This window comes from Homo sapiens, chromosome 1 (assembly GCF_000001405.40).
Source record: "Homo sapiens chromosome 1, GRCh38.p14 Primary Assembly".
Taxonomy (NCBI): Eukaryota; Metazoa; Chordata; class Mammalia; order Primates; family Hominidae; genus Homo; species Homo sapiens.
In genome coordinates, this window is record NC_000001.11 from 196870885 (window position 1) to 196884909 (window position 14025).

At 38.8% G+C, this 14025-nt stretch overlaps 1 pseudogene; it reads left to right on the forward strand.

Moving 5' to 3' along the window:
- Positions 1 to 14025, forward strand: part of LOC100996886 (complement factor H-related protein 3-like) — a 34873-nt pseudogene that overhangs the window by 20680 nt on the left and 168 nt on the right.

The window sequence follows — 14025 nt, forward strand, 5'->3', positions numbered from 1 at the left end:
CAAATTTTCAAAGTCATTTATCTGGTGGTACCCGATGCTTATACATTATTCATGACTTTAACCAGTGAGTTGTACTGGTGTTCAGTCTTGGATTTGAAAGATGCCTTCATTTGTATTCCTCTGAGTCCAGAGTCCCATGAAGTGTTTGCCTTTGAATATGAAGACACTGACACTAAAGCAAACCAACAGTATTGCTGGACAATGCTTCCTCAAGGCTTCAAAAACTCACTAATTGGTTGGGAGGAAATACGTGCTAAAGAGTTTGGGACCTTCGATTGAAAAATGGGACTTTGTTTATTTATGTTGATGACATATCCATAGCCCCCAAAACTAAGGCAAACTGACCAGAATACTATACTGACTTTACATTTCTTGTCTGAATTGGGATCCAAGGTATCCAAGAAAAAGGCACAAATCTTGAAACCCTCAGTTACATATCTTGGATTTGAACTTTCTCAGGAGCAGAGCAATCTGCTTTCGGACTGCAGAGAAGCTCTTGTCAGGGTGGCCAGACTCAGGACATGGCAGCAGCTGTGAGGGGTTTTTAGGTATGGCTGGATGTTGCCTTATTTGATTTTCTTATTTTGGGCTTATAGCAAAATCTCCCTATAAAGCCCTAAGACCAGACAGTTGACTTCTGGAATGGACCAAGGAATGTCAAAAGGCCTTTCTAACCATTAAATAAAAATTGTTAATGGCTCTGGCTACTGGTACCCCCTGAACTAAGAAAGCCATTTAATTTGTTCATATATGAGAGAGAAGGGGTGAGTTTAGGAGTACTAACCCAAGACTTGGGGAATATCATGAGGCCTGTAGCCTACTTTTCAAAACAGCTGGACATTGTCCAAAACTGGGTTGGACTTCTTGCCTCTGAGCCATTGGTACCACTTGTGATCTTCTCCAGGAGGCAGAAGAGTTCACTTTGGGTTAACCTAGCACAGTACACACCCCACACTATGTATGCTCTTTGTCAGAGCAGAAGTGGATCTACTGACTTAATTCTAGAAGACTGAATAGATATCAGGCCATCTCCCTGCATAATCCCAGTGTTACTCTGAGAGCTGTTTCTACTCTAAATCCTGCTAACTAAATCTATACATGATTGCTTATAAAGTATTGAGCAAGTTTATTCTATTCAACCAGACTTGACCAAAATTCCCTTTAAAAACCTGGACTTAGAAATATTCACTGAGGAAAGCAGCTTTATGAACCACAGACAACAGAAGGCTGAGTATGCTATGGTAACCCTGTGACAGATCCTAGATGCAGAGACACTCACTCTGGGTTCATCAGCACAAAAGGCAGAACTTAGAGTCCTAAACAGGGCATCCCAACTATGTAAAGACTCCTGAGTCACCATTTACTCTTATTCCAGGTATGCTTTTATTGTTGTCCATGCTTATGGGGCTACTGGAAAGAAAGGGGATTCTTAACCTTTGGTGATTAAAAAAAAATGATTAAGCATGCTAAAGAATCTTAGCCTGACTAAAGACAGTCTTGGTACCCAAGAAAGTAGCTATACTACACCACCCTGGACATCAGTGGATGGACAATTTGGTAGCAAGAAAAAAATCACTAGGCAGACCAGGCCACTAAAGGGATGACCAGAGAAAAAGTACCCAAAGCCTTGCTAATGCCATTAATCCCTGAAATAAACTTCAGCCTAAAATCTATACCTATTTGGAAGAAGATCTAAAAGCACTTGATTGAGGCTTTGACTCCAATCAAAGAACCCAAAATGAGTAGATATGTAACACAGAAGAAAAGGTTCTTGTACCCAAGTATCTTACCACAGATATCATCAAACACATACATGATACCACGCAGTATGACAGGCATGCCACCCTTCAATTGATCCAGGACTACGTCTTTGGGACACACTTAAAGAAGGCTATCCAACAAATAATTCTAAAATACCTACTTTGTGCCCAGAACAATCTTAAGACTGGTCCTCCACCCCCAGTTCCAGGGATTCAAGCAAGAGGTGCAGGGCAAATAGAGGACTGGCAAATTGATTTTAACGTGATGCCAAGGGTAGCAGGAAATTTTAAATACTTGCTGATATTTGTAGATACATTTTCAAGATAAATGAAAGCATTCCCCTGCAAGACCAAGAGAATGTATGAGGTTATAAAAGACTTGTTAGAGAAGATTACCCTCAGGTTTAGATGGCCTGTCTTCATCCAGTGTGACTATAGTGCAACTTTTGTAGCCTAGGACACCATATATTCCAGGCCCTCAGCATAATCTGGAATCCTCATACAGCCTGGAGACTGAAGTCTACTGAGAAAACTGAAAAGTTAAATCATACTATAAAAAACAAAACAAACTTTTGCTAAGATTTGCCAAGAAACTAACAACCTGGAATAAAATTCTGTCCTTCTCCCTGCTCAGAGTAAGGGTGGTCCCTAAAAGTGGGCTTAAATAAGCCCTTTATAAATTTTATATGGGAGATTATTCTGTTCTCTTCTCAGACTAAGGAATGCCAATAATATACACATAAAGAAATTAGATATTATCAAATATATACAATCTTTAGGTCACACTTTAATTACTATTTATGAGTTTGTGGTTCCAGCAGATTGTGGTATCCAACTGACATTCTCTTGCGTCGCATCCAACCAAGAGACTGGATTCTGCTCAAGACCAGGAAAAGTCAACATCCTGAGGACCACTTGAAAACACAGTGAAAGAGGCCATACAATGCATGACTGGTGACTCATTCCTCTGTTCGGGTGAAGGACTTAGACCCTGGATTCACCACAGCCATATAAAACCCACCCCGCCAGACTCTAGTGCTATCAAGAAATGTAGAAAGGCCAACCCTATCTGAATGGATAAGTACATCTTTGATGGGCCTCAAATATCTTTTGAAGAAAAATATCATATAAATAACAAACTTAAAGAAAATTAGACAAAACACATGTCCTCTTGACAACTACAATAGTTACTTTGAGCATAATAGGAATTTTTGTTATAATTATTTTACATAAAAAGGTGAGATACCTTCCTGTCTATTCCGTGCCTTACTGAATGCTTAACCCATAGATTTACCTGGTCATTATAATTGCCTTGGTCATTACAATTGCTACACTTATAGATTTTACTTCACAATTGCCTTGGTCATTACAATTGCTAGACTTACAGATTTTCCAGGCATCCTATACCATGCTGACTTAGTCTCCTGCCTCCCATTATTTGGACATTCTAAAATTTAGAAATGGTCACTCTTGTTTTAAAACTTCTAATAAATTTCCTTTTACTGCAATGCCTAGACAGGGATAACAACACTGTAGTTAAACTGCTTCAAGGTATTGCCACTGGAAGAAACCTACCAGAATGATGGATCTGTCAGTAACTCCCTCAAACGATTCAAAATAAGCATGTTCTGTTAGTCATACTTGTCACTGACTTTCTGTCCCAAATACGACTACCTATCTGCAACAGCTTCTTTCCATGGCTAATTTCCAGGTCCAACTGGTAGTACACCAAGAAATCACCACCCCACATCTCAATCTCTCTCTATATATCATAAATGGAAAGTCATTCCATAACATAGGCCCTCCACGGCCCATGGCATAATGGGTAGACAAATGCAGCCAGGAGAAGGGAAATAAAATTAAAAGTTTCTCTTTGCTGCACCAAAAATATTTACAGTGGGGAATATCACACAAATTTTGGGGAGCCTGTAGAAAAGGATCCACAGTTCAATTCCATTTGCCTATATTCCCCATGAAAAAAACCATCAATACATGCATCTTTGAGGGCTTCACTTGTGTGTCCCCTTGGCAAATGTTTATTTGTGACACAGGATCAGAACATCCTCTGTTAGGACAAGCTCACTGGTGTCTCAATAACCTGTATATTGAGGGCTCTTACTTATTGGGACACTGGTCAGTCCATCCTAATGACTAAAGATTCTGCCCATTTTCCCACGGACTCCAAAAGCCACTGCCAGGCATATATCAATATATCCGGTGACAGGGCCTTCTTGGGCATCACAATTCCTAGCTATGAAGTATACACTAACTGGGCCATGATCAGAAACTTACCGGCAACTTTAGAAATAATTGCAAAAGAGGCTGCTAAGAACATTAAGGCTGAGAAAACTCTTTACATTTACTTACCCAGATAGTTCTTAACAATGGAGCTACACTTGATTTTCTCTTGGCTTTACTGAGGGGAGTCTGTACAGTGATCAATACCACCTGTTATACTTATATCAATGCTTCTGGTAAAATAAAAACCAAGCTAAAGAAAATATTTCAGCAGTCTCGCTGGAGACCATATGTCTATACCACAGACCCTAAGTCTGACTAGTTTTTTGAGCTTTTCCCCTCGATACTCCACGTTTTCCAGTCCATTTTCCAAGGGCTCTTAAAGTTCAAGCTCACAATTCTGTTTATAGGGCTTACAGTTTACATCATAGGCTGCTATTCAATTAAATATTACAATAAAACCATAGACTGAAGTACTAACATGTTCATGCAGCACCTTCAGCTGGGTGTAACGACTTGCAGGTTGTTACAATACGGTTTCATTCCTCTAATCCCGACTCATTCTCTGACTGTGCCCCTTATCAGCAAAAAGAAGCTAGAGTCGTCATTGCCTGTTTCCCACCATATTAGCTGTTACACCTCAAGATTAAGAAGGGATCAAGCCTGGGAGGAACTGAAACTGTCCCTAAGAAAATTACATAAAATTGATTAAGGGGGGAAAATTCATCTACGCTTTCAGGACAAGCAGCAGTAATCATTAGGCCAGCTTTCCCTTTGTCCTACGTCTTTGTAGCTGGTCATGGATTACTACCACCCTAGGATAATGTAGCCCTTGTCACAAGACCTTTTGGTCCTTTTCTTTTCTACAGATAAAATCTAAGACATTGTGAGACTATAATCTTTCTGCATGAGTTTCTCCTTTAGGTTCGGCATACCAAAAAACCTATCAACATACTCGTCAACAAGGCAAAACCACATTTTCACAAAAAATTAAAGAAATTAGGTCAGGCATCATGGCACAGGTCTGTAGTACCAGCTGCTCAGGAGATCTGAGGTGGGAGGACCACTTGAGCCTGGGAGGCAGAAGTTGCAGTGAGCTGAGGTCACGCTACTGCAGTGAGGTCACGCTACTGAAATCCAGTTGGGCAACAGAGCAAGACCATGTCTCAAAAACAAAAAACAAATATACATACACACACACACACACACACATACACACATCAGCTGGTCTAAAGAGCCCAGCAAAAAGCTGACTCAGGAAATAATGCAGGTTCCACATCCCACATCCCGGTGATTTCATCCCCCTTACCCTGACCAATTGACAACCCAAATTTTCTAGCCCCTCACCCTCCATGATCCCCTTAAAGTCCCTTGCCCAGAACCCCTTCACAGAACAGATTTGGGGCTTGAGAATCCTCCCATTTCCTTGTTTGGTGCCCTTGCATTGATTAAAGTTTTTCTTTGCTGCAAACTCTACTGTCTCAGTGTATTGGTCTATTGCTAGACAGTGGGCATGTGAACCTGATAGTGTTATAACAAAATAGAATAGAAGCTATTTACAAAATCGATCCATGCATGTGAGTCTATTTCTGGACACCATTTTCTCTTCTATTCTTCTGTGTGTTTATCCTTTCACCAGTGTCAGGAGATCCTTTTACTCACTGTAGCTTTTTCTAAGTCTTAAAATTTGGTAATGTGAGCTTTTCAACTTCTCTTATCTTTTGAAGAATTGTGTAGCTATTTTAGTCCCTTTGCCTTTCTGTATGACTTTAGAATCAGCATGTCCATATGTGTAAAACATTGTGCTTGGTTATTCACTAGAAATGGGACACACTCATAGATGAATCTGGGGAGAACTGACATGTAACAGTATTAAATTGTTCAGTCCAGGCCGACCGCGGTGGCTCACGCCTGTAATCCTAGCACTTTGGGAGGCTGAGTCGGGTGGATCACGAGGTCAGGAGATCGATCGAGACCATTCTGGCTAACTCGGTGAAACCCCATCTCTACTAAAAATACAAAAAATTAGCCAGGGGTAGTGGCGGGCGCCTGTAGTCCCAGCTACTCGGGAGGCTGAGGCAGGAGAATGGCGTGAACCCGAGAGGCGGAGCTTGCAGTGAGCCGAGATTGCGCCACTGCACTCCACCCTGGGCGACAGAGCGAGACTCTGCCTCAAAAAAAAAAAAAAAAAAATTCAGTCCATGAGCATTATATATCCTTTGATTTAGTAAGATCATACATTCTTACACTAGTTTTTTTTGTGTGATTTTCAGCATACAGATCCTGTATTTTATTAGATTTATCACTAAATATTTTGTTTTTCATGCTTCAGCTACAAATTCAATTTGTTTAATAGATATTATTTATTAATGCTACCTAATCCTTCTTCAGTGAGCTGTGACAGTTTGTGGCTTTAGTAAGTTTCTAGTTCATTCAAGTTATTGAATTTATTGACATGGCATTATTCAGAATATTTCTTTATTTTTCTTTTAATATATGTAAAAACCATAATGATGTCATTTCTGTCATTGCTGTTATAAGCAATTTGTGTCATCTTTTTTTCTGATTCAGTCTGTCTAAGGTTTCTCAATTATAGAGATCTAAAATAACAAGCTTTTGGTTTCCTTGTTTATATACATATTTACTTATTATTTCATCTCTGATCTTTATTGTATTATTTCTTCTGCTTACTTTGAGATTAATTTTTTCTACTTTTTCTAATATCTAATGGTAGAGGCTAAGGTTACTGAAGTGGAACACTGCCATTTTCTGTCCCAGGTATTTAGTGACACCAATTTATTTCATACTGCTCTAGTGTCATTCCACAACTTTTGATATGTAGTTTGGCTGGAGTAGGGAGTTTGGCTGGAGTAGGGTGAGTATACCATAAAAGATTTACTGTGTTTTTTGGAGGCAGGTGGGGAGAGGGAATTATTGCCAAAAGGTGGGTTATTTTATGTATTTATTTTTTTAACTCCACTCTGTATTTTAGCTAAGAGAAGCAGCTTTGGAACTTCTGAAGTCTGTACATCTCTGTGGCCCCCAAGGATTACTTGTTTTAAATTTTGTTTTAATAGTCTAAGTTTATCATGGGTCAACTTGATTCTTTCAAGGCTTATTTTTAAGCTTTTAAAAGGCTGGTTTAGCGGCTGCCTGGAGCGGAGCGCTGCGAGAGCTGCGCGGCGCGCCCAGGTTCCAGCCGGCTCCGCTCCGGGTCCCCCAGTGCTCGCTGGCTCCCCGCTTGAGCCAGCCCGCCCGCCCAGCGCTAGGGGCCAAGGAGCGAACCGCACCTGCGATCCGATTGTCCGGGGCACGCCGTAGAGGATGGGAGGACCCATGAGGCGCTAGCCTGCGAAGGTGGCGGTGCTGCTGCTCCGGCTGCTCTTGGAGTTGCATGTACACGACGTGGCAGACTTTCCAATGGGAGGATTGTGGATTCTGATGACATAGGAAACTTCATCTTCCAGACATTGCCACAGAAAGCACACAGACTTTGGAAACCAGCAGACCTGAAGTCAAATGTCGACTTTCAGCTTGCTCCTGTGTCACCTTTGTAAGTTAATTCACCTCTCTGAGACTTTAGTTTGCTCATTTATAAACCACCTAACTCCCAGGGTTCTTATGATGTTAAGTGAGATTTCATATGAAAAGCACCTAGTGGATTACAGGCATTCCATGTATGGCAACTACTGTTTTTGCCTTCTGAATGAGCTGGAATTAAAAGAGTCTCTACATCATTGGACATTTAGGGAAATGCCAATTAAAATCACGATGAGCTACCAGTACAGCATCAGATGGCTAATATCAAAAAACAGATAATAAGTGTTAGTGACGATGTAGAGAGACCGGAGCCCTCTTACATTGTTGATGGGAATGTAAAGTAATGCAGCTGCCTTGGAAAACAGTTTGACAGTCTCTCAACAAGTTAGGTAAGGAGTTACCGTGTGACCTGGCAGTTCCACTCCAGGTCTTGGAGTGGTCTTGGAGTGGCATGTACCCATTCTGCTTTTCTTGGTATGTACCCAAGAAATTAAGACATTTGTCCATGCGAAGATCTGTATGCAAATGGATGTAGCAGCCTTATACATAATAGCCAAAATGCAGTATCAACCCAGATGCCCATGAGCTGGAGAATGGATAAACAAAATGTGGTGTCTTCATAGAATATTGCTCAACACTAGAAAGGAATGAATTTCTGGTATATGCAGCAACATACAATCCAGACATAAGAGACTATAAGTTGTATGATTTTCTTTAATTGAACCATATAGCAAAGGCAAGACTATGGATAAAGATACAAAGCAGATCAGTATTGCTTGCGGGCTGGGATAGGAGTTGGAATTGACTGCAGAACAACATGAGGGAACTCTGTGAAGTGAAGGAAGGGTTCTGAAGTTGGATTGGGGTGTTGGAGGCACAGCTGTATACATTTCCTAAAACACATCAAACTATACCTTGAAAATGGGTGGTTTTAGAGTGTATAAAGTAAACTGAGCTAGAACTTGGATCACCTGATCCAAGTATCATAAATTGTGATTTATATTGATAATTATGTTTAAAAGATACCATGGTTTTCAGAATGCTTGTGCTCAGTGGGCATGAGTAGGAGCTCCTGAGTGCCCGTGTGTGTTGGGTATTGCAGTTAATCCAGTCCTTTGCACTCATTGAGGACTCTTACGTGTCCCTTGTCTCTTGCCACAACAGCCTCTATCACCAGAAATGAAGGCTTCAGTAGAGAGATATTTTAAAAAGAAATCACACCATCCAAATACAACACTGTGAATTTAGGCTTATGCTGTTACATTCTTTCTCCTATGAATATGTTTATTTTTACGTTGTTGAAATTAAATATACATAATGTGTTTTAAATTAACTATATGCAATAAACATTTTCCAGGATGTTAAAAAAATAAAAATATATTGATTCTTCCTATCCAAGAGCATGGAATGTTCTTTCATTTGTTTGTGTCCTCTTTTATTTTGTTGAGCAGTGGTTTGTAGTTCTCCTTGAAGAGGTCTTTCACGTCCCTTGTAAGTTGGATTCCTAGGTATTTTATTCTCTTTGAAGCAATTGTGAATGGGAGTTCACTCATGATTTGGCTCTCTGTCTGTTATTGGTGTATAAGAATGCTTGTGATTTTTGCACATTGATTTTGTATCCTGAGACTTTGCTGAAGTTGTTTATCAACCTAAGGAGATTTTGGGCTGAGACGATGGGGTTTTCTAGATATACAATCATATCATCTGCAAACAGGGACAATTTGACTTCCTCTTTTCCTAATTGAATACCCTTGATTTCTTTCTCCTGCCTGATTGCCCTGGCCAGAACTTCCAACACTATGCTGAATAGGAGTGGTGAAAGAGGGCATTCCTGTCTTGTGCTGATTTTCAAAGGGAATGCTTCCAGTTTTTGCCCATTCAGTATGATATTGGCTGTGGGTTTGTCATGAATAGCTCTTACTATTTTTAGATACGTCCTATCAATACCTAATTTATTGAGAGTTTTTAGCATGAAGGGTTGTTGAATTTTGTCAAAGGCCTTTTCTGCATCTATGAGATAATCATGTGGTTTTTGTCTTTGGTTCTGTTTATATGATGGATTACGTTTATTGATTTGCGTATGTTGAACCAGCCTTGCATCCCAGGGATGAAGCCCACTTGATCATGGTGGATAAGCTTTTTGATGTGCTGCTGGATTCGGTTTGCCAGTATTTTATTGAGGATTTTTGCATGGATGTTCATCAGGGATATTGGTCTAAAATTCTCTTTTTTTGTTGTGTCTCTGCCAGGCTTTGGTACCAGGATGATGCGAGCCTCAAAAAATGAGTGAGGGAGGATTCCCTCTTTTTCTATTGATTGGAATAGTTTCAGAAGGAATGGTACCAGCTCCTCCTTGTACCTCTGGTAGAATTCGGCTGTGAATCTGTCTGGTCCTGGACTTTTTTTGGTTGGTAAGCTATTAATTATTGCCTCAATTTCAGAGCCTGTTATTGGCCTATTAAGACACTCAATTTCTTCCTGGTTTAGTCTTGGGAGGGTGTATGTGTGGAGGAATTTATCCATTTCTTCTAGATTTTCTAGTTTATTTGCGTAGAGGTGTTTATAGTATTCTCTGATGGTAGTTTCTATTTCTGTGGGATTGGTGGTGATATCCCCTTTATCATTTTTTATTGCATCTATTTGATTCTTCTCTCTTTTCTTCTTTATTAGTCTTGCTAGCGGTCTATCAATTTTCTTGATCTTTTCAAAAAACCAGCTCCTGGATTCATTGATTTTTTGAAGGGTTTTTTTGTGTCTCTATCTCCTTCAGTTCTGCTCTGATCTTAGTTATTTCTTGCCTTCTCCTAGCTTTTGAATGTGTTTGCTATTGCTTCTCTAATTCTTTTAATTGTGATGTTAGGGTGTCAATTTTAGATCTTTCCTGCTTTCTCTTGTGGGCATTTAGTGCTATAAATTTCCCTCTCCACTGCTTTAAATGTCTCCCAGAGATTCTGCTACATTGTGTCTTTGTTCTCGTTGGTGTCGAAGAACGTCTTTATTTCTGCCTTCATTTCATTATGTACCCAGTAGTCATTCAGGAGCAGGTTGTTCAGTTTCCATGTAGTTGAGCGGTTTTGAGTGAGTTTCTTAATCCTGAGTTCTAGTTTGATTGCACTGTGGTCTGAGAGACAGTTTGTTGTAATTTCAGTTCTTTTACATTTGCTGAGGAGTGCTTTACTTCCAACTATGTGGTCAATTTTGGAATAGGTGCAGTGTGGTGCTGAGGAGAATGTATATTCTGTTGATTTTGGCCATAATGCCCAAGGTAAATTATAGATTCAATGCCATCCCCATCAAGCTACCAATGACTTTCTTCACAGAATTGGAAAAAATTACTTTAAAGTTCACATGGAACCAAAAAAAATCCCGCATTTCCTAGTCAATCCTAAGACAAAAGAACAAAGCTGGAGGCATCACGCTACCTGACTTTAAACTATACTGCAATGCTACAGTAACCAAAACAGCATGGTACTGGTACCAAAACAGAGATACAGACCAATGGAACAGAACAGAGTCCTCAGAAATAATACCACACATCTACAACTATCTGATCTTTGGCAAACCTGACAAAAACAAGAAATGGGGGAAGGATTCCCTATTTAATAAATGGTGCTTGGAAAACTGGCTAGCCATATGTAGAAAGCTGAAACTGGATCCCTTCCTTACACCTTATACAAAAATTAATTCAAGATGGATTAAAGACTTAAATGTTAGACCTAAAAACCATAAAAACCCTAGAAGAAAACCTAGGCGATACCATTCAGGACATAGGCATGGGCAAGGACTTCATGTCTAAAACACCAAAAGCAATGGCAACAAAAGCCAAAATTGGCAAATGGGATCTAATTAAACTAAAGAGCTTCTGCACTGCAAAAGAAACTACAATCAGATTGAACAGGCAACCTACAGAATGGGAGAAAATTTTTGCAATCTACTCATCTGACAAAGGGCTAATATCCAGAATCTACAAAGAACTCAAACAAATTTACAAGAGAAAAACTACCCCATCGAAAAGTGGGCAAAGGATATGAACAGACACTTCTCAAAAGAAGACATTTATGCAGCCAACAGACACATGAAAAAATGCTCATCTTCACTAGCCGTAAGAGAAATGCAAATCAAAACCACAATGAGATATCATCTCACACCAGTTAGAATGGGGATCTTTAAAAAGTCAGGAAATAACAGGTGCTGGAGAGGATGTGGAGAAATAGAAACACTTTTACACTGTTGGTGGGACTGTAAACTAGTTCAACAATTGTGGAGGACAGTGTGGTGATTCCTCAGGGATCTAGAACTAGAAATACCATTTGACCCAGCCATCCCATTATTGGGTATATACCCAAAGGTGTGAAGAGGGTATTATTGCCAAAATGTGGATTTTTTTTTTTTAACTACACTCTGTATTTTGGCTAAGAGAAGCAGCTTTGGAACTTCTCAAGTCTGTACATCTGTGAGACCCCAAGGATTACTTGTTTTAATTTTTTTTTTAAGTCTAAGTTTGTTATGGGTCAACTTAGTTCTTTCAAGGCTTATTTTTAAGCTTTTAAAAAGCTGGTTTAGGGAGGCTAGAACTGTGTCCCAGTTCTAGCCTCTGGGTAAACCGCAGAGATAGTTTGTTCAGAATATTAAGCTGCTTCTGATGTCTCTACTAAATGACCTAGATGTTCAAACGAGTCTTTCTACTCCGATTGATTCCATTTAAATGTCTCCCTGTGTTGTGTGTGCTCTGCGAATCCTTTACCTTTTTGTTCTCTGGTAGTGTTCTTCATCTGATAGGTATCCTTGGTCCATTCTTGGGGAGTTTTACTCTACTCTCCAGAGTGTCAATATTCATCCAAATAATCTAGGGAGTTGTTGTGGAAATTTGTAGAGCCCTTTCACTCCATAGTTTCTTCTTTTCTGACTCTCTTTCCTGCAGATTCTAGTGACCTCATCTTCTTTGGGAACATTGAGTTTTGTTTCTTCTACTCAGCAAGTCTGCCATTTTCTGCTTGAATTCTCCTTCTCCGTGCGGCTGTTTGGAAATTTTCTCCCAGCATAAAGTCACTTTGATGATGGAATTCATCTCATTGTCACTTTTTATCTGGAATTAGGTGCTTCCTGCTTTCCAATGTCTGAAAATGTTATTTTCATCTATTTGGTTCCATTTCCTTATTTGTGGCTGGAACTCTGTTTTACTTGATTATTCTTGCCTGAGCTTTTACCTTTTTAAATTGTCTCTACTGTTTGTTTTCTATTTGATTTCTACTTATATTTGAATTTGTTTCAAAATTTATACTCATGCTGTATTTTGTTTGCTTTCTTTGTTATAATTTATTATAAATAATAATTTATTTTCAGTTTTACTCTTTTCTTTTATAGCTATGTAATGATAAATTTCCCTCTAAGCACTATTTGAGTGTCATCTCACCAAGTTTTATTTAATATGTTTTTATTATCATTCAATTCAAAATATTTGATGTTTCCTCTTCCAATTTTCTCCTTATCCATGAGTTATTTATAAATGAAGCTGATTTCTGGGAGGCAACCTAGGAACCAACAGTAATTTCTATCATCAGTTTACAGAGACAGTAATGTCCACTCTTTCAAGTTAAGTACTACATAATTTGAGGAATCATCATTTTGGCCTTTCAAGATAAATAAATCTGTTACTGTCTCTCATCTTCTTTGAACTCCACATGTCCATTTACTTTGAAGCACACAGTAAGAATGGCATTTCAAATTCTTGGAGCCAAAGGCTATGACAATTATTTTGGCAGATTTTCTAAGATCATCACGGGATCTCAGACACTCCAATTGGTTAAATGAGTTTTGGAATTGCCTAAAAGATCTAAAATAGGCAAGATTAAAAAGTCTTAAGAAATAATACTCATTGTCTATTGAGTTCTGACATGCTGTAGAATTCCAAATCCATTAGACCAACAGATTTCCAATAATTTCTTAGAAATAATTGTAAGAGTCTTAAATAATGCCTTGTTTTAGAAAATGATGGAGAGTCTTGATGTAATGTCTTTGGCAACTCAGAACTTATTTTCTTTGACTTAAGTATCTGAATGCTTATGATTATCCAAGTTTTCAGTTACAAATCACTCATTATTTTTTATATTTGCATATTATTTACATTCTTATAAAATGTTATTGAACATATGCTTGTCTTTTTCTTATTCTCTTCCTTTTTAGAAACATGTTCCAAATCAAGTATCGATATTGAGAATGGGTTTATTTCTGAATCTCAGTATATATATGACTTACATAAACAAGCAAAATATCAATGCAAACTAGGATATATAACAGCAGATGGTGAAACATCAGGATCAATTACATGTCAGAAAAATGGATGGTCAGCTCAACCCACATGCGTTAGTAATTTATTATGTTTGTATTGATTATCCAGATGATACACAAAAGTTTACTAACTTTAGTCTTTTTATGGGGGCTGATATAATTTCATTTGAAAACATAAGAAAAAAACTTTGAGGAACAA